At 45.7% G+C, this 21,529-nt stretch overlaps 1 protein-coding gene across 46 annotated transcripts in view, besides 1 other annotated feature; it reads left to right on the plus strand.

Annotated features, from left to right (window-relative positions):
- The window catches only part of ZNF536 (zinc finger protein 536), a 487,995-nt gene that overhangs the window by 155,876 nt on the left and 310,590 nt on the right, over positions 1-21,529 (plus strand). The window lies entirely within an intron of this gene.
- Positions 3,486-3,986: an enhancer, noted in NCBI's record as "H3K4me1 hESC enhancer chr19:30875860-30876360 (GRCh37/hg19 assembly coordinates)". NCBI's record gives its function as "activates a minimal SCP1, AML or CMV promoter by ChIP-STARR-seq in primed H9 embryonic stem cells {active_cell/tissue: H9 hESC(primed)}" and the evidence as "EXISTENCE:reporter gene assay evidence [ECO:0000049][PMID:30033119]".

The raw sequence follows: 21,529 nt of genomic DNA on the forward strand, positions 1-21,529 counted from the left end.
TGACGCTTGATCTGGGACTGGCATGGGAAGATGGAGCCAGGCTTCCAGACAGTGGGATCTTGCAGGGCACAGGTCCCAAGGAAGGAACAGGCCTGGCACGCTGGAGGATTTGGGGCTGGAGCATGAGGGACCAGGGAGGTGAGATGGGAAATTAGGCCATAATGGCCCCAGGTCCCAGAGCCTTTGCACCATTGCAGGCTGGGGCAAGGGGCTAATTCCAAGGGCCATAGGAAGCCTCAAAGGGTATGGATGCGGGGTGGTTGATGGGGAACGTTGTAAACAGGCTTTCTTTCCATGGCAGGGGACAGTGCAAGGGACAGAAGCGTTCAGAGTCTGCAGGGAGGTGGAGCTGACCGGAGCGATCTATGTGGTTCTGTGTATTTCATCTCTTGGCCTGTGTGTCCCCATCCTAATATCCTTGAAGTATCAAAGCATTGCTAAATAAATACCCATGAAGTTTGCTACAGGGGAAGCCAGCAAAAAGTTCTTAATTTAAATTCTTGTTTTGGAAGAGAACAAGCAGAGAGAAGAGAATGCTTTCCATTCCCTGGTTTAAGTCTCAATGAAAATGGCCATGTGAGACATTTTGGGTAAAAATGACCTTCTTTGGCTCCCATTTTGGCTGATGTGTTCACTTCTTTTCCACGGATTGCTACCTCCCCTCCCTGCTGCCCCCGCCTGCAAAGAGACAGCTCTGCATCCATGTCCCATTTCCGTGTTATGGCTAGCGACAGACACAGTTATTAGAAGAAAGTTGTCCGATTTGAATTAAGCATAAACATGTCAGCTTAGTGGTCTGGACACCTTGTAAGTCCTTGTGCATCATCTGTGCAAAGCTCTTATTTGATGGTTTGATGAAGTTTCGGCAACTGCATGGTCTATCCAGTGCCTCCCGTGCTTTTTCTCCAAGACATTTGGGTGGAAAATCCACAAAACAATAATAGATCAATACATTTAAATTAGAACTTTCAAAAATTCAATAATGGTATTTACAAATTAATAAAGCACTGTAAAGAAAATATCTGCACTTCTTTATTTAGGGATACAGTTAATTTTTTCATTGATTAAGCATTCTTTTGGTGGATGGGATGTGGGCAGGGAATTTTTTTTTTTTCTAAGAAGGAAGTTCTGTGTGAAAACTAGAAGTATTTGCGTGTTTTTGGTCCCACTTGTAAGTTACTAATGCATCACCCAGACAAAGGCCGATAGTGAGGGAAGGAAGTATGGCTTGGCTTGGCAGAAGCTACCGCAGAGGTGGAATCCACTGGATCCCATGTGATCTACATGGTTGTGATGAGGATGGAGGGAAGGGCAGGTGTACAAATTCCTGCGGTGGGCGGCTCTGACTTCTGAAGCACACAGGTGTTAACTGTGTGAAGGAAATTTGGTATAGGAAATTATCATTTAGCAAACATAAACCAGGGAGCTACTCTTCTTTGTGCAAAAGAATTTCCCATAGAAATCCTTAAAATTAGCCCAGATAGTCTTGCACAATTAAAATCAAATATATTTCTTTTTCTCCTCCTAAAAACAACAAACGTGGCAGGTGTGGTGGTCCACGCCTGCAAGCCCAGCACTTTGGAAGGTCAAGGTGGGCGGATCACCTGAGGTCGGGAGTTCGAGACCAGTCTGGTTAACATGGTGAAACCCAGTCTCTACGAAATGTATAAAACTTAGCTGGGCATGGTGCTGGGCACCTGTAATCCCAGCTACTCGGGAGGCTGAGGCAGGAGAATTGCTTGAACCCAGGAGGCGGAGGTTGCAGTGAGCTGAGACCATGCCACTGCACTCCAGCCTGGGCAGCAGAATGAGACTCTGTCTCAAAAACAAAGAAACAAACAAACAAAAAAAACAAATGCAACTCAGGTTTTCAAGACTATGCCTCCTGTATCCAGGAAGGTAGATCTGTACCTTGCTAAGGTCTGGGGTCTGCCCAGTTCAGATGGTGAACAACTGAGAAAGAGTTGCTGACAAGTTCCAGGAGGCCCTGTGGAGGTGGCTGCACCCCACCAACCACTCTGCTAGCTGGATGTGGACACAGCCTAAACCACGTACACACCTGCATGCCTGTGGCCCAGGGCCTGCTACTCACTTACTCCTCCCCTTTATCCTCTCTTCTTCTGCCCACCTTCCTTCCTTTCTTTCTCTCTTTCTCTTTCTTTCTTCCTTTCTTCCTTCCTTTCTTTCTCTCTTTCTCTTTCTTTCTTCCTTTCTTCCTTCCTTTCTTTTCTTTCTCTTTCTTTCTTTCTTTCTTTCTTTCTTTCTTTCTTTCTTTCTCTTTCTTTCTTTCTCTTTCTTTCTTTCTTTTCTTTCTTTCTTTCTTTTCTTTCTTTTCTCTTTCTTTCTCTCTTTCTTTCTTTCTCCTTCTTTCCTTCCTTCCTTCCTTCCTTCCTTCCTTCCTTCCTCCCCCCTCCCTCCCTTCCTTCTTTCTTTCTTTCCTTTCTTCCTTTCCCTTCCCTTCCCTTCCCTTCCCTCCCCTCCCCTCCCCTCCCCTTCCCTTCCTTCTTCCACTCTGCCAGCTGGATGTGGACACAGCCTAAACCACATACACCACCTGCATGCCTGTGGCCCCACGGTCTGCTACTCACTTACTCCTCCCCTTTATCCTCTCTTCTTCTGCCCACCTCTTTCTCTTTCTTTCTTTCTTTCTTTCTTTCTTTCTTTCTTTCTTTCTTTCTTTCTTTCTTTCTTTCTTTCGTTTCCTTCTTTCTTTCTTTCTCCTTCCTTCCTTCCTTCCATCCTCCCTCCCTCCCTCCCTCCCTCCCTTCCTTCTTTCCTCCCTCCCTCCCTTTCTTCTTTCTTTCTTTCCTTTCCTCCCTTCCCTTTCCTTCCCCTCCCCTCCCCTCCCTTCCCCTCCCCTCCCCTCCCCTCCCCTCCCCTTCCCTTCCCTTCCTTCCTTTCTTTCTTTCCCAAAATATTGATTAAGGACCCATGGCAGACCACAGGCTGTGTTAATGCTGGGGGCCTGGTGGCGAAGAAGGTGTCATGGCCAAGACCCTCTTGTGGATGCACGATCCCAGTGGGCTGGCACAAAGTGGACACCCAGTGCTTTTCCTATTGAATCATGTCCTGGGTGGGACCCTGCTTTGGTTGCATGGGACCTTCAGGCATCGATGTGGGTCTGGACACAGGATTCTTCTTCCTGCATTGGATGGAAACCAGAAACCCCTGTGGAGCATGAGGGTCAAAGGTCATCCACTTCTTGCACCCTGAGGGTTGAGAGAGGAGGAATGGCTTGGAATAGGGGTACCAAATGGTGTTTAGAAAATATGTGTTCAGCCAGGCATGGTGGCTTACATCTTTAATCTCAGTGCTTTGGGAGGCCAAGGTGGGAGGATTGCTTAAGGCCAGGAGTTTGAGACTAGCCTGGGCAACAGAGCAAGACACTATCTCCACAAAAATAAAATAATTAGCCAGGCGTGGTGGCATAGCCTGTAATCCCAGCTACTCAGGAGGCTGAGGTGGGAGGATCCCTTGAGCCCAGGCAGTCGAGGCTGCAGTTTGATCACGTCACTGCCCTCCAGCCTGGGCGACAGAGTGAGATATTGTCTCTAAAACAAAAAAAAAAGCAAACAAAAAACCCAGCTCCACCTCCCATTGGTTGCCAGTCCTTGTCACCTGCAGGATAAAGGTCTAACACCCGGACTTGATGTTTGAGGCCTTCCCTGCAGCAGCTGCCCCAGGCATCCTTCTCTTTCATTCAGGGTAGGAAGGGCCTTTCCAGGAGCAGGAGCAGCCCTGAAATCGGGTGGAAATGGACATGAGGAAGGAAGAGCCGGTGGTGGAGTTTGTCTAGCAACCGCCCAGAGACTGAGGGAGGTGATGACCCGATGGGGGTCAGTGTGGGTTGTGGTGGCTGAAGCGGGACCAGGGGCCACCTGCCTGGGGCCTGGGTGCCCTGGGAAGCAGTGCTGGTTGCACTGGGGGGACAGCTGCCTGACGGGTGTCTCCCTGTGGGCTGGGTAACGACCGTTACCCTGGTTGCAGTGCTTCCTCTCTTCTCCTGGAGTTCCTGACTGTCCTCTGTGGCCTTGTCCTCATTGCTCTTCCCTGCTTCACCCACTGGTTCCAGTCCTTGTCACCTGCAGGATAAAGGTTAACATCCGGACTTGACATTCAAGGCATCTCCCCAGGCATCCTTCTCCTTCTTCCAGACCCTGCATGACAAGCTGCCATCTCCCAGGGAATGGGCAGGACACACCTGTCCACCCCTGCGTCTTGGCTTTTATTATTCCTTCTACCCATATTCCACCTACTTCTCCCCAACTTTTCAGACTTGATGGTTTACCCCAGGTGCAACTCCGCCTCCATCATGAATCTCCTGTCTTCTGAAATCTGCATGTGCGCACTGCCTGGAGGTCCCTTCAGTGATGCTGCTTTGGGTCCCCAGCTGGGTGGAGCCACAGCCACATAGAGCATCTGGTGCTTAGTGGGACCCCATGGAGTTATCTGAAGGAGTGGCAGTGCCTGGATCACTGAGCTGGCAGATGGACATCAGGGATCATGTGGCAATGTCCGTCTGTCTCACTCCTAACTTAAACTTCGATTTTAAAAAATGTGGCCCAGAACATTCTGATGTCAGCTGGTGTTGCATCCAAGGCCCCTCAATACTGGTCCCATCCCACCTTCCCAGCTTCATCTCAGGCAACATCCTCCCATCCCTCAGCCCTTTGCCTACGCTGTCTTAGAAAGCCAGCCACTTTTTCTCCTTCATCTCCACTCCAGAAAACTCCCTTTCATCCTGCAAGAGCCAGCTGAAAACTCACCTCACTACAGAAGCCAATTCTCACGCTGCTCTGAGTGGAGTTAGCCCCTCACTCAGCTGAGCTTTCATCTCTGTTACCTGTGACTCTTCTGACCATGTTATTGTCTCTCTACAGTCTCTCTTTATGAATGTCTGCCCCTCCTGTCTCTTACCTCCTTTTTTGAGATAGGGTCTCACTCTGTCACCCAGGCTGGAGTGCAGTGGAGTGATCATGGGTCACTGAAGAGTCGACCTCTCTGGGCTCAGGTGATCCTCCTACCTCAGCCTCTCAAGTAGCTGGTACTACAGATGCATGCCACAATGCCTGGCTATATTTTAAATGTTTGGTAGAGAGGGGGTCTCAGTATGTTCCCCAGGCTGTTCTTGAACTCCAGAGCTCGAGCAATCCTCCTGCCTTGGCCTCCCAAAATGTTGGGATTATAGGCGTGAGCCATGATGCCTGGCCTCTTGTCTCTTCTGACATGTAGTGGGTCTTTGGTCTACATTTGCCAACCTCAATATCTGTAGGTCCCTAGGGCAGGGCCTGGCGCACAGCCAGGGCTATAGGTATTAGGTATTTATTTGTGGCTTTCAGGAACCGATTTTTGGTGAAAGACACTTGGAAATTAGCCCTGCGTTTCACAGAACACTTCTATTACAGCGGAAACAGTGGCAGTGCTTGTCTGCGGGTCGCCGGCATGGACAGCAGGGGACTGCTTCCGAGGGCTTATCCAAAGTCACAGCCTATCAGCAATTTTTAAGATAACACATTGACATCTGTGTGTTTAAGATTCTGGTAAAAAGATGCTAGAGGAAGCAATGTGCAGACGAGAGTCGGTCTGTTTGATGTGTGATTGAAGTGTCAGTGGAGACACACAGAGAAAAGGTGTTTGGTCAAAGATGAAGCACCGTTTTCATGCTGAAGATCTGCCCTCACTCATGGGCTCCAATGTCCCTTGGCTAGAACCTGTCCAGGCCTCAGTATGGTACCAGAGGGAGGCCTGGATGTGGGGAGAAAGGCAGGTGCTTAGCTGATACTTGCAAAGGAAAATTTGCAAAAGGGGCTGTAACAGAGCTGTCGCTGGTTGCAGCCTGACTTTGAATCTTGCTCTGAGCAGGACCGTGGGGACCCGAGACTTCTGCAGCCCCTGGTTGCTGTGGGCTGGGCCCCAAAGACCCCATTCAGGGAGGCTGATGCAGGGGCCATGCTTGAGAGATGCCCAGAACCTGCCCTCCCATGGTTGACGGCGGTGAGGGACCCACTGCCTCTTTCCAAGCCATTTATTGCCACTTACCACGAGCTTGGCTTACATCTGCTGCTGAGAGCAGAGCGATCCCAATTTGGAAGCCGTGGAGGCCGTTTTTCACCCACACTGACATAAGCCATGACTCTCGAAGCTGATGACACACTTGAGATAAGGTCAAATGCTCAACAGAAAGGGACATTTGTTGCTTAATCCCTGTTTGCAGAGAGGCTGCAGACACTAATGGCTGGAGGAATATGTGGTCCTTGTCCCCAGGGGACCTGGCTGGAAGGCAGGGCCCTCTCCACTCCATCGCTTGGAAACTACTTACCCTACTGCACAGGATATCAGGGAAGAGGCTTGGAAAGCCCAGCCTAGAGAGGGGACTTAGACCCTGCTTGAGGGATGGGGTTGGGGAATGTTCTCGAGACGCAGGTGTCCAGGCTGGTTGGTCAGTGGGCTTTGGGCCCTGGAGGGGGCTGTGTGATGAGCCAGGCACCAGCTGGGTGTCTGTGTAGATAGGATGGTCCATAGGTGGAGCCCCTTAGAGGTCTTCTTCCTGCTTCCCATGTAATCTCCTGTGGCTCTCAGATTTTGAGGTCAGGTTTTGAGGCTGTAAGAGGTGCTGATTTGGCCAGGATATAAGTACTGGGAGAAACACGAGGGGAAAAGAAAAGACAAGGGTGTGTCTATAAGATTTCCCGGGGGAGTGAGTCAGAATGAACGGTGGCCTACTTCAGTCAACCTGAGTTAAGATAAAGAAGACCATGGATCGCCTTGGCCTGGGACCTCGGTCAAAGTATCCGTATGGATTTCCTTTCTGGGTCTTGGTGCTGTTGAGGGAGGTCATGTGACTTTGCCTAAATCAAGTTAGATCTTTCTACAATTATGGATACTCGGTGGGGTTAGGCAGGGGGCTTGGAGGCACCCTCCAGAAGCCTTAATGGGGGCGACCCCGCTCCTCCAGCCATTGTGACCACTTTGTAGGGTTTATTGCCCCAGCCCTCATGGTCCACTGGAAGGTGGGAGTTCCACCCCACAGAGACCACCCAGCGGTGGCCATGCCCGGGGCTTGCCATCCAGGTGCAGAGCCCTCCACGATCGCCTCGTCCCTCCTGTGCTTGGCAGGGCTTCTTCAACTTCTTCACTTGGGGGAATTTTCCAGGGCAAGCCAGTGTTGTAGGTCTAAACCCTCACGGTGTTTTCTTGCATGCCAAGGCTGTTGGGAGAAGCTGAATGTGCTGTTATCAAGAGACCAGTTCTTTAGAAACAAATGCTATGATTTTCAGAATTAGGATGGAGTGTAAGATTCCTTCTTTCTTGGTTAATTTATAGTAGCCAATGGGAAGACAGAGAGAGATTCCTTTATGGGCTTCCTCCACTTTCCAGGCTTAAAATCATGTGCTGGGCCCTTCTACATCTCATTCAGACAGCTGGCAATGGCCATTTATGTAGGGTGAGCTGACCAACTGCAGAGGGCTCTATTTCCTGGAATTCTCCCCTACAAAGCAAGTGTAGCCCCTTCAGGAGGTGTAAAGGCTTGACGACCTGTGAGGAAGGAGGGAGTCCCATGCCCCATCTCTCTTGATTTACCAGGCTCCTCTTACCATGAGCCAGAGAACACAAGACTGAGTGTCAGGCCTGCCTGTTTCCTTTCCTTGGGTGTGGGACCCCCCTAGTGTGAGTTCACCCAGTCCGCACACGTTCCACGTGCCTCCACGAAGCCAGGCCTGGTTCTCCAATTTCCAAGTAGAGTTCTGGTTTGCGCAGCTTTTCTACTCAAAGGGGGTATGCGGAAGGCCAACCATGTGGTTGGTGATACTCGTGTATAGGGTACATTTGGGGAGAGGTTTCCTGGGAGGGCGAGCACTTGCATAGAGGGTTATCTTAGTGCCCTTGAAAAATCTAGCGACCATAGATGGGACCTTGCCTCTCCTCTACTCTGGACACGAGACCCTTGTAAAAAAAAATTCCCTTTTTGCTCAAGATACATGCTCCTCACCCATGGATTTTTAAAAAATCTTGTCCATGCTTCACAGCTCAGAAATCTCTTAACCTGTTCAGTACAGATACGACTAGTAATGATTTGTCCCCAGGGGCTGTATTATGGTGACACTCATCATGGGCCATTCTCTGCCTTTCTCATTCATGAGAAAGTTCCAGACTGGGCTAAGCGAAGGCCAAGACCAGAACCCTTGAAGGTACTGGCCCAGAAAATGTCCTTTGGGTGAAGAAGTGGTGGTGCCCTTGGCTCCTGAATCCTAGCAGATTCTTTTTCTAGGGACTCCATTTCTGTCCCGCCTAATAGCATCCTGCTGGCCCAAGCAGATAGCAGAGAGCTGCTGTGGGCCCCTCCAGCTCCCTATCTTCCAGAAGGGCCACTTGGCTGCTGAGTGTGGCGCAGTGACATTTTCCAACTTGAGCTGCTAAGGTCTCTAGAAAAAGATTTTTCCAGCAGAATTAGAGAGGAAAGAAGGCTTGCTGTTTCTGATATGTTTTACCTAAGATTTCTCAAATGGCTGCTGGGATCCCAACTCCTCCCAGGGATTTCCCTCCTCAAAGATATCTTGGTAGATATTCAATGGGGGACCTCAGAGGTGTTCAAGGAAGGACTCCATCTCCATTGAGGCAGGTGCTGTGCAGGGGAAGGTTTTACTCCTTCCTAAGCACTTACTGTTGCCTGAATCTACTTCCTAGGGGTTAGCTGCAGGGGGGTTAAGGTTGTGTTGAGTAGAGAGAAGAGAAGAGAAGCCTGCTAATTTGCTTTTTTTCCTTTACTTTAATCTTTAGTTCAGCTGCCCTTAGTATAAACTGGAACTTATAAAATAAAAAAATGCTAGGGACTTCTCCTCTTTCTCTGTTAATAAGCTCGCATGCTGAAAAAGGTCTAGATGAGAAGAAAAGGAAGCCCAAGTGAGAGTAGCATTAAATAAAACTCTTTAGGGTGAGGTGGGACCAGGGTGGCAGGCAGCTGCAGGGGAGTTTCAGTGCTAGAAAGTGGAGTTGAACTCTCCAAAGGGAAAGGCTGGAGGGGCTGAAGTGAGTACAGGCTCCCCAGCCCCTATGCTGGTCCCCACTTGGCCATGCCAATCTTCCTAGCCAGGCTCTTTGAGAGCAAATCCCACATTCTGCCGGAGAGCTGGAAATCCAGTCTTCTTGAGGTCTGAAGGTGCTTTTATGTTTCCAAATCTATCGGAGCCTGGAGTGTCCTCTGTAGCCCTTAGAAACAGTCCATGGCAAAGTCAGGGATCCCCACTGGCAGAGCAGGAGGCAGGCAGCCCCGTGAGCTTACTGGAGGATTCTAATCAAGTGACTGGGAGGCCGGAGCTCTTGGCATCACCGCCAGCCCCCGCCCCCATGTTTACACTCAGCCCCCGTTGGCACCAATGGGGATCTCAAACCCAGCCTGGGACCTTGGGAGCATCTATTCCAATGTCAGAATAAACAGAAATCCCCACTTGAGAGTGTTATGAATCTTCTCAACACAGCACTTTATAAACCTCGGGGGCTACGTGCCCTTGAGTGCTGGCAGCATTAATATTTATTCACTAGGGACCAAGTTTTGCCTGCAGAAGCCCATGCTGGTGCCTGGAAATTCTCCTGTGATCAGAGCCAGAGGCAGAGTCCCAGCTCTTGCACTGCACATACCTGGGAAGGTGGTTAGGAGCAGGCCTGGAATCCCTCCCAACACGGCCAAATCACTCACTGCCACTTTGTCCCTGAGGAATTCCAAAACACAATACCACAGGATGTCTTGCCCATTTCTGATCCCAGGTCCAAAGGGCCCACCTTCTGCCCCACATCTGTCCCAGTAGACTTGACTTTAAACTGCTTTTGCTGGCTGGCTGCAGTGGTGCACACCTGTAATCCCAGCACTTTGGGAGGCCGAGGTGGGTCGATCATCTGAGGTCAGGAGTTTGAGACTGGTCTGACCAACATCGTGAAACCCCATCTCTACTAAATACAAAAAAATAGCCGGGCATGGTGGTGCATGCCTGTAATCTCAGCTACTTGGGAGGCTGAGGCAAGAGAATCTCTTGAAGCCGGGAGGCGGAGGTTGCAGTGAGCTGAGATCGCACCATTGCACTCCAGCCTGGGCAACAAGAGTGAAAGTCTGTCTCAAAAAACAAACAAACAAACAATCAAAAAAACTGCTTTTGTTCAGGGTGAACTTTATTCCTGGCGCTTAATTGTAAAGAATGATAAAGTCCAGGATAGACCACAGAGCGATCTGAGAAAGACCAAGAGAAAGAGAGAAAAAGGTAAAGGCACACACAGAAAAAGAAAAACATGCTTTCAAATTCACTGACAAACAGCATCTTCCACTAAACTTTCCCTTGTTCTGATTGTAACTCCCAGCCACCCCTTAGCTAGCTGTCTTTGAATTATAATTGCCTCTCAAACTCCTGGTACTGTAACCTTAAACCTTGTAATTGTGCCCCAGGACAAATCAGTACTAATTTAGCTAATGCAGTACGTCTTAGACATCTCTCTAGCCTCCACTTTGAATAAGGATATCCTCCCCCCTTCACCCCCGCCAAAAAAAGTGTATTTTAGGACCGATGAAGCAAGTGTGCATGGATTCTAGGTTGCGGTTCTCGGATGTCCGGAGCTGGGGGCCAGAGGAGAGGGGAGGTGCTCAGCTTCCAGGACTCTGAGGGGAGAAGGGAGTGAGTGTCTCCTCTTTCACAGCCCTGGGAGGACTCTCAGCCACACCCTTTCCCTTGGGAATTCCAGTCCTTCCTAGGGGAGGCCCAGCGCTCTCATGGGTCTCCTCTAGAATTTGCAGGAAACCAGTAGGAAACCACAGATCCCCTGGGGCGAGGGAGGTAGGGACAGAAAGATTGTGCGGTTGAATCTAAAATATGAAGGGAGGTTAGGAGCAGCCGCCAAAGGGATTCCATTAAGGAGACCACAGAATTTAGCCTTATGAAGTTCATGCCCATGTGGAGACAACGCCAGGGTAGCCAGAGAAGGGTTGGAAGGGCTGGGATGTAGAATCCGTGCCCTGCACCACCGCCCGGCAGCAATTATCTGCGGTTAGCTGGTTACTCCGAGCTGCCAACTCCTGAATGCCACGGCCTCCCAACTGAGCCTGAGACATGGCATTTTCTGAGCCAGTCCTCCTTCTTTCTGTGTGATTTCCATTTTTTCTAGGGTGTCTCTGTTCTTAGAAGTACATCAGATAACTGCTCTTAAGTGAGCTAAAATTAAGCTCCCAAACAAAGAGTTATGAGTGCTGTTTTATTTCTAGAGATGAAAATTGCACGAGTAACTTATTTATTTGACTACATTACATTACAGTAGAAGGAAGGAGAGGACTGTGGTGCAAAACAGTAATTAACTGTTTTTTCTCTGTCCTGAAAATTAGTGCATAGTTAGATCAAAATATGACAGGGTGCACGCTCATTTAATTTTTTAAATTGCTTGGTAACTTCAAATAAAACCACTGCTGTGGATCTGTAGGACTGTGTGAATGCTGAATACTCAATGGCATTTTGGAAACCACTTCTGTATGATCTGTATGGCACAAGATGATAGCATTCATTCATTTATCTGGTCAGCAAATATTAACGACACCTACTGTGTGAAGCTGTCTCTGGGGAGCAGTCATGCGCGCTGGGGAATTATGTGAGTCCAAGATGCTGAGGAACAAGAACAATCCCCTGTATCATTTATTCGTCCATCCACTCATTCATTCACTCAACAACCACTTAGGCAACTTCATTTCTGTGTTGAGGTTCCTGCTCACAGTTTAATGCGGTAGGATGGGGTTGGGGGCGGGGGAGAGGAAATGAGAACTACCAGGATACATATGAGTCACTGAGGCTTGTTTGCTGATCTGATCAAAAGAAGCACATGCAAAGCCATCCAAGAAGAGGGTCTGATTCATTCATTTCTTCCTATGCTCACTGATTAATTCACTCATTCCAAAGAGTTTATTGAAGACCTACTGTGCCCTGCAGATAGGATGATGAGTGAAATAGACTTGATCCCTCTCTTTATGGAGCTTACAGTCTGGAGAGAGGGGCAGATGTTCGTCAGAGAATCACATGAACCAATGTGAAATCATTAGTCTGGCAGGTGCCTTAAGGAGAGGTGTCTGGAGCTCACGGAGCCTCTGGTCCTAGGCTAGGGGCAGCGTCACATTCTCAGGCAGGGGTTACATGGAAACATCTCAGGGAAGAGCGTTCCAGGCAGAGGGAACAGCAAGTGCACAGACCCTGTGGCAGATGGAACTTGGTGAAGATGAAGGCTGAAAGGTGGGCAGAGTGAGGCTAGAGGCACAGAGGAAGGGGAAGCTGTGAGCTGAGCTGGAGAGAAAGATTGAGGCGACGCCACAGAGGCCTTGATGAAGGATTTTAGGCTTTATCTGAAAAGCAGTGGGTAAAGCCATCATGTAATGTGAATGTTGTTTAAGGGGCAATGTGGGCAGAATGGAAGCCTGGGTGTTTGGTGGTGTTGGACAGGGCAGTGGTGGAGGAGATAGAGAGAAAGCAGATGTGAAACATGTGTGGGAAGAGCTGCCTTTGGTCCAGAGATGGAAGCTGAAGGAGTCAGAGTCTGCAGGGCTAGATGGGCAGGCAGAGACAGTAGGGAAGGGCACGTGCAGATGGAAAAAGGGCAGCTCTCTATCAGATCAGTGAGCAAGCCTCAGTGACTCACACTGGAGGCCACAAGACCTGTAACAATGAACACACGGGACCCCCTTGGATGGTTCCTTAATTGGTGGTCCAAGACTTTTCCTTAAACGACTTTCCTTTTCTCCTTCTTGTGTTATAGAATTGCTGAAATTTTCTGAAGCCAGTCCAACAGGTGTGCCCACCTATTGCCTACTTATCCGTGATGAACCCTTACACATTGGGTAATTGTGTGTGCAAATGGGTAGTTAGGTATCTAACTATGATAGTGCATGTGTGGGTATGTAATTACTAGATTTGCATTTGCAAATGCTCATTTCCCTAAACAGCCCTCTCCCCACTCCCACTTCTCAGCTACCCTCCTACCCCACAACACACACATACCCAGGTGTAGGACTGGGCCAGGTGCATCTCTTACGTCTGCTCGGCTGCACCAGAGGAAGCTCCTTCTTCAGCGTCCCTTCCCCATTCTATGCACCACCATGCCCTCCACACTGAGAGGAAGAAACCAGTGACATGGCCCTGTCTTCTTCCATCTCTGGTGGTAATTGTTTGCCCCACCTGTAAATAGTACAGTCTGGAAATTACACATGAGCAGTTGCTTTTCTACTCCCAGTTCAGCCTCACCTTTCCAAGGGAGAATCACCATTTATGAACTGGACTTACACAATCTAGTGTGCAAGTAAGCTGCACACTGAGCTGAGCTCAAGAGAAAAGTTGAGGTGACACCATGGAGGCCTTGATGAAGGATTTTAGGCTTTACCTGAAAAGCAGTGGGTAAGCCATCATGCCATGTGAAGGGTTGTTTAAGGGGTCAACCCCTTAACACTGGTTTTGGAGCACTGGTTTCGGAGTCTTGCACATCTGCTTCCCCTTTCAGCTTGTGAGCTCGGTTACTCCTGAAAATAAATGTAATGTGTATTCAGGGTTTAGTGTAATCCTTATTTGCATTAATGCATTTGTGCTTCATGTCATTGTACTGAATGAAGTTCTAGTCTTCTTAGGGCTTTCGTTGTGTACAAAGGGACAATGCTTAGATTAATCTTAATTGCTACCAATTTTCATCTTATCTATGGTACAAGATTAATGAAAAGTGATAAAAGAAGGAACTGACAGGACAGGTAGTTTATGACTCTAAAATCAGATAGTCTACAAACAGACAAGGTGTCATTTTGGGTACCATAAAGGGGATGTCCAATAACTAGAACATAGAAGTGGCATTTTGTTGTTTTGTTTGCAGTATCTACAGTCAAACACCTAAGACACACATCTGGTTTGGGGTGGACCAGTTGCAGTTTAACGTTAAAACCCAGCCCTGCTGGTGGATGTAGAATGCTGGTCTGAATGTGTCAGAGTGATTGGTTAAGAACTGTGCCTCCTGCAGGAAGATGACTCAGGGTCACCCAGACCTTGGTTTATCTGCCAAAGAAGGGCCACCAGGATGCCTTTTCTGGGGAGGTTCCATATGTTGCGCCTAAATGTCTCAGTGATTGGATTTTAGTGGCATGTTCTCTTCTGACAACAAGCTTTGCTTCTGCCATGTTGAAATGCAACCTTAATAGCTGTGTACCTCTTCATGTGGCTGAGTCTGAGAGGCAGCAAAAGATCTACCTTTCTCCATAATTTTTGTTTAGTAAGGACTTTTTATCACTTTAATGCAAGTTAAGCTTTGTTTTGAATATAAGACTTATGATAACTAGGTCAGTTACATTTTTGTTTTCATTATGTTTTTTAAGTTAATAAACTTGATTTTTTAAGAGCAGTTTTAGGTTTGCAGCAAAATTGAGTGGGAAGTACAAAGGCTCATCCCCACAATTCCTCGCTATTAACATCCCCCACTACATCAGTACAATTGTTACCACTGATGAACTACATTGACACGTCAATATCACCCGAAGTCCATGTTTACATTAGGGTGCACTTGGCGTACATTCTGTGGGTTCTGACAAATGTATCATGACATGTATCCACCATTGCAGTATCATACAGAATCTTCTCCCTGCCCTAAAACTCCTCTCTGCTCTGCCTACTTCATTATGTTGTAAAAAAAATGACTTCTCACCAAATAACAAATGCCAGTCACCAAAAATCCCAGCCTTTTATTTAAGCAGAGGGTTGATTGGTACCTCTCTCCATCTCCTGATGGGATAATTTTGCCTGTAGATGGGAATTTGGAATGGAGAATCTCTTTCAAATAAGAGATCACATGATCTGTGTTCTAGAGTCTATAAAATAACCAATTGAAAAGGAAGTGTCCAACTTGACTTATATTTTCTGGATCAATTTGACTTTCTGGGAATTTGGGGTTTACTTTTGCTTTTGGCAATTTCTTTAGATTTGTCTCTTCCATCCATCTTTCTTTGAGAAGCTTGATGCAGACCTGCCAATTGTTACAGTGTAGCAGTTTCAGGGAAGAGAGTAAGGAAGTGATTCTAAGGACAGGAGGAGCTTTCTACAGATGTGTCCTGCCTCCATTTGCTATGAGAGGGCTCTCTCTTTTTTTTTTTTTTTTTTTTGAGACAAAGTCTCTCTCTGTCGCCCAGGCTGGAGTGCCACTGTAGTGGCATGATCTCGGCTCACTGCAACCTCTGCCCCGCCGCCAGGTTCAAGTGATTCTCCTGCCTCAGTCTCCCGAGTAGCTGAGATTACAGGCATGCACCACCATGCCTGGCTAATTTTTGTATTTTTAGTAGAGACGGGGTTTCACCATGCTGGCCAGGCTCGTCTCGAACTCCTGACCTCAGGTGATCTGCCCGCCTTGGCCTCCCAAAGTGCTGGGATTACAGGCGTGAACCACCGTGCCCAGCCAAGCAGGCTCTCTTTTAAAGGGCTTCCTGACCTCAGGCCAGCTAGGCACCTCCACCTTCCTGCAAACCTCTTCTTACACTCCAGCTTTTTGCTAGAGCCCAGAGCTCCCAGTTGGCCCTTCCACATCCTATAACTCTATGGCTGCAAACCTGGGCACTTAATACTTGTTAGAACTTGTTACTTCAGGTCTTGGATAATAGAGGCTGGGGTGACAATGGTTGTGGCTTGAGACTCAGGTGATAGGAAAAGCTGTACCTGTCCCTGAGTTTGTGTTCTTAATCTCATGATTCGTTAACAGATGGTGTTCAATGTCTAAAGCCACCTTTGCATTATAAATGGGAGAATTTTGCTGGAAAGACTCTCTCTGGCATGAGGACTCTCCACCTAGCCCTCATCTTTTGTTCATTTTGTCAAACAAATCTACATGTGTTAAAATTGCAAAGAACTAAATACACACACCACACTCACAGATGAGTGCATGTGAAACTGGTGAAGTCTGGGTAAAGCTGGAGGGATGTATCAACGTTAGTTTCCTGGCTGTGATGCCAAACTATCTATCATTATTCAGGATATTACTATTGGGAGAAACTGGGTGATGAGTAGACAAGATTCCTCAGTTATTTCTTACAACTGAGTGTGAATCTACAATTATCTCAAGACAAAAAGCTTAAAAAAACTCAGCTTTTACTTCTTTGTTTTATATTGCCATTTCCACCATACTCCTTACAGTTTGGTGTTCTGTGGATTCTTTACTAATCTGCCTCGTTTATTTAAATGTTAATTGGCGTCTGTTAATTTGATTTCAGTACTAGAAGCCAAACTCAACAATAAGACCCCTTAATGATTACAAGGTATTAGAGCTTGGACAAGGGGGTCTGAAAAGACCCTCATCCCTACAAGAAAGTAACCAGTGTTCAGAAATAAATAGGCATGAGAGAGATAGAAGGAGAGAGAGAAAGAGAGAATACCCTAACAGAAAGAATGACTGATTGGCAAATTTAAGAGCTCACAAAACAGACCAGGTCTAGGATGTTAGAAAGTACAAACAGAAAATAGCCCATGATTTTAAACATTAATTCTTTAGTTTCTTTTTCCCTTTTAAATTTTGAAATAATTATAGATTGATAAGAAGTTGCAAAGATAGTATGGAGAGGTCTTTGGTTTTCCCCATTGCTTGCATCTTCGATAACTGTAGTGCTGCATAATAGCAAAAGCAGGAAACCAACATCACTACAATGTACCTGGCCACTTCTGTGTCATTTGATCACGTCTGTAGATTCCGTAACCACTGCCTTTATTATGACACAGAAGTGCTCTTCACCACAAGATCTCCCTCATCTACCCATTTCCAGTTATATCCCCTCCGTGCCCCAACCATCCCTAGCCCTTGGTGCCTACCCATCTGTTTAATTTTCTCAATTTGGGAATGTTGTATAAATGGAACCATATGGTATATGACCTTTGGCATTGGCTTTTTCTTTTTCTTTTTTTTTTTTAAATTATAGTTTAAGTTATAGGGTACATGTGCAGAATGTGCAGTTTTGTTACATAGGTATACACACGCCATGGTGGTTTGCTGCACCCATCAACTCGTCACCTGCATGAGATATTTCTCCTAATGCTATCCCTCCCCTAGCCTCGCAATCCCGGACAGGCCCCAGTGTGTGATGTTCCCCTCCCTGTGTCCATGTGTTCTCATTGTTCAGCTCCCACTTATGAGTGAGAACATGCGGTGTTTGGTTTTCTGTTCTTCTGTTAGTTTGCTGAGAATGATGGTTTTCAGCTTCATCCATGTCCCTGCAAAGGACATGATCATCCATGTCCCTGCAAAGGACATGAAATTATCCTTTTTTATGGCTGCATAGTATTCCATGGTGTATATGTGCCACATTTTCTTTATCCAGTCTATCATTGATGGGCATTTGGGTTGGTTCCAAGTCTTTGCTATTGTGAATAGTGCTGCAATAAACATATGTGTGCATGTCTCTTTATAGTAGAATGATTTATAATCCTTTGGGTGTATATCCAGTAGTGGGATTGCTGGGTCAAATGGGATTTCTAGTTCTAGATCCTTGAGGAATCGCCACACTGTCTTCCACAATGATTGAACTAATTTACACTCCCACCAACAGTGTAAAAGCATTCCTATTTCTCCACATGCTCTCTAACGTGTGTTGTTTCCTGACTTTTTAATGATTGCCATTCTAACTGGCGTGAGATGGTATCTCATTGTGGTTTTGATTTGCATTTCTCTGATGACCAGTGATGATGAGCTTTTTTTCATATGTTTGTCAGCTGCATAAATGTCTTCTTTCGAGAAGTGTCTGTTCATATCCTTCACCCACTTTTTCATGGGGTTGTTTTTTTTTCTTGTAATTTTGTTTAAGTTCTTTGTAGATTCTGCCTATTAGCCCTTTGTCAGATGGATAGATTGCAAAAATTTTCTCCCATTCTGTAGGTTGCCTGTTCACTCTGATGATAGTTTCTTTTGCTGTGCAGAAGCTCTTTAGTTTAATTAGATCCCATTTGTCAATTTTGGCTTTTGTTGCCATTGCTTTTGGTATTTTAGACATGAAGTCTTTGCCCATGCTTATGTCCTGAATGGTATTGCCTAGGTTTTCTTCTAGGATTTTTATGGTTTTAGGTCTTAAGTTTAAATTTTTAATCCATCTTGAGTTAATTTTTGTATAAGGTATAAGGAAGGAGTCCAGTTTCAGTTTTCTGCATATGTCTAGCTAGCCAGTTTTCCCAACACCATTTATTAAATAAGAAATGTTTTTTTTTTTTTTTTTTGAGATGGAGTTTTGCTCTGTCACCTAGTCACCCAGGCTGGAGTGCAGTGGTGTGATCTTGGCACACTGCAATCTCCGCCTCCCGGGTTCAAGCGATTCTCCTGCCTCAGCCTCCCAAGTAGCTGGGATTACAGGCGCCCACCACCATGCCCAGCTCAATTTTGTATTTGTGGTAGAGACGGGATTTCACCATGTTGGTTAGGCTGGTCTTGAACTCCTGACCTCAAGCAGTCCACCTTCCTAGGCCTCCCAAACTGCTGGGATTACAGGCGTGAGCCACCGCACCCAGCCTTGGCATTGGCTTTTTAAAATTCAGCATAATGCCCTTGAGCGCCATCTATGTTTTGCATGTATTAAGAATTCATTCCTTTATATTTCTGAGTAGCACCTCATGGCATAGATGTACCACAATTCATTTCACTATTCTCCTATTGTAGGACTTTTTTTTTTTTCCAGAATTTGGCTGTTATAGCCAAAATTTCTGTGAACAATGGCATACAGGTTTTTGGGTGAACGTAAGTTTATTTTTCTAATATAAGGGCTCAGAAGTGCAATTGTTAGATCGTATGGTAAGGGTATGTTTTATTTTTTATTTTTTAAGAAAATGTCAAAGTTTTCCAGAGTGGCTGTACCATCCTACATTTGTACCAGCAATGCATGAGAGATCAGGTTGTTTGCATCCTCAGCAGCATTTAGTATCGTCATTTTGAACAGAATTTTAACTGTTTTAATCAGTATGTAGTGTTATGTTCCTGAACATATTTTCATGTGTTTATTTGCTATTCATATCTCTTTTTTGGTGAAATATCTGGCCATGTCTTTTGCCTGTTTTCTAATTATATTATTTATTGAGTTGAGTTTTGAGGGGTTTTGTTTTGTTGTTGAGACAAGGTCTCACTTTGTCGCCCAGGCTGCAGTGCAGTGGTGCTGTCATAGCTCATTGCAGCCTTCAACTCCTGGCCTCAAGTGATCCTCCCACTTCAGCCTCCTAAGTGAGCAGATGAGACTACAGGTGTGAGCTACCATGCCTGGCCTGAGAGTTCTTTCTACATATTAGATATGAGTCTTTGGTCAGATACATGGTTTGCAAACATTTTCCCCTAGTCTGTAGCTTGTCTTTTTATCTTCTTAGCAGGGTTTTCTGCAGAGCAAAAAATTTAATTTTGACAAAATCCAATTTATTAATTTTTCCTTTTGTGAATTTTACTTCCGGTATCATATTTAAGAACCATTTGCCCAGGACCTAGGTTCCTATGATTTTTTTCCTATATTATCTTCTAAAAGTTTCATAGTTTTATGCTTTATATTTACATTTGTAATCCATGTTTTGTGTAAGATATGAGATTTAGGTCAAGGTTCTCTTTTTGTTGTTGTTGTTGTTTGTTTATAGATATCCAGTTGTTCTAGCTCCATTTGCTGCAAAAAACTCTCCTTCCTTCATGGAATTGCTTTTGCATCCTTGTCAAAAATCAATTGGCCTTACCTGTGTGGGGGGCTACTTCTGAGTTGTCCATTCTGTTCCATTGATCTATCTATTTTTTTTCTTTTACGAGATGGAGTCTCACTCTGTCACCTAGGTTGGAGCTCACTGTAGCCTGGAATTCCTGGGCTCCAGCTATCCTCCTGCTTCAGTCTGGTCTACATATCTTGATATTTGAGAATAAGAAAGAAGGACTTCAAGATCCGGGTTAGACTCCCCATGTCCCAGTACCTCTGGCCTCCACCAAGAATGGATGTGAGCACTGGAACTGGGCTCACCACCCCAGTGGGGTTTGCTCTGCACAGGAGCACGTGTGAAGGACTTTACCCACTGCTTTCTCTACCACATTCCCCAGACACTACTGTTTTGGGTCTCTTTTCATTTCTTTTCCTTGCTTACACATGTTCTCAGATTAAAGTGGGATTTTCTGAAACAGATTTTTTCTATAATGGGGTAAAAACCGTAAGTAAACAGAATTATCATAACCATTTAAATAGTAATAAAATATGTTTTTCTATTTCTATTCAAAGAGGGGGAAAGGTAACTGGAGAAGATGAAAGGAAAAGCTAGATTTGTGGGTGGTAGGTGTGTTTTCTTCTTCTTCAACAACAGGTACAGAGTTTTAGTAAAGGACTTCAAGGGAAAAGGAAAAAAATAGCATATACTGTTATGGGGTTATTTTTATCTTTCATTTTTGTGACAACTTATTTGTACTTAAGAGAATCTTTCCAAAGAGTTAGAAGCATCATTAAATAAAGACTGTGAAATGTGCAATATGGCTTATTTATTTAAATGTTAATTGGTCCAACGAACACTTCTAATTAGCTCTATATTTGCTTAGCAAAAAGTTTTACAAATTCCAATTGTGAAAAGCAGCTATTTTGAGCTGGTAAGCATGTTGCAGCCTCAGCTATGATTTTTCTATAGTTCTCAGCCCTTGAAGGCACAATTTAATTTTTCATGTATGCATACTAGCAACGGTAAACACTTGCGAGTGTAAAGAACCTTCTTTAATTAGCTGCACAACAATTAAAGGATTCACAAACTAAATTGAACCCTGTCTCGGTGCTTACTAGCTGAATTCTACCACCTGTCACAACAGCACTTTGTTCAATCTGTTATGCAAAATCATTATAGCAATATAGTGGAGGGGAAAAAAAAAGAGAAAACAGCAATTATTTCTTACTTTTCTCTTGAATGGGTTATTTTGGGTTATACTGATGTCAGGTTCATTGAAGCTAACCTTTTGAAATCTGTAACAGCATAATACTTCTAAGGCAGTCTCAGAATGGCTGGAAGAATATTCCATTTTACGCTTTTAGGAGGAAGCAGCATTCATTTCTTTCCTCCTAAAAGTGCTGGAGACTCTGATCATTTGAAACAACCTGTTCTACCTCTCCCAGCCACCTTCCATTTGCCTTTTTTCACCGGGAACCCTGTACGGCTCGACAGGCTTCTGTGTTTTAAAAGCTTGCAAACCGCGGCCGACGTGGGTTTAAAGATGCAATTCTCAAACTGCCGCCTCCAGAGCATCTCGAGTCATATTACTTCATAAGCCCAGTGACTTACTGTAAAAACATGTGTGTTGCTTGCTTTTTAAACATTTTTTAAAATTAAAAAATATATATATATATATATATATATATAATTTTCAAAAATTTGATTTAAACTAAACTGCTCTCCTGTTTAGACTGGGTCGGAGGGGAATGTTACCCCCACCCCACCCTGGCCATTTGCAGAGACAAAGGCTTTATTGTGAGGCCCAAACCCAAAGCCTGACATGACAGACTTCTCCCTGGAGTCAAGGAATAAATGTTTAC

Source organism: Homo sapiens, chromosome 19 (genome assembly GCF_000001405.40).
Source record: "Homo sapiens chromosome 19, GRCh38.p14 Primary Assembly".
Lineage (NCBI taxonomy): Eukaryota > Metazoa > Chordata > Mammalia > Primates > Hominidae > Homo > Homo sapiens.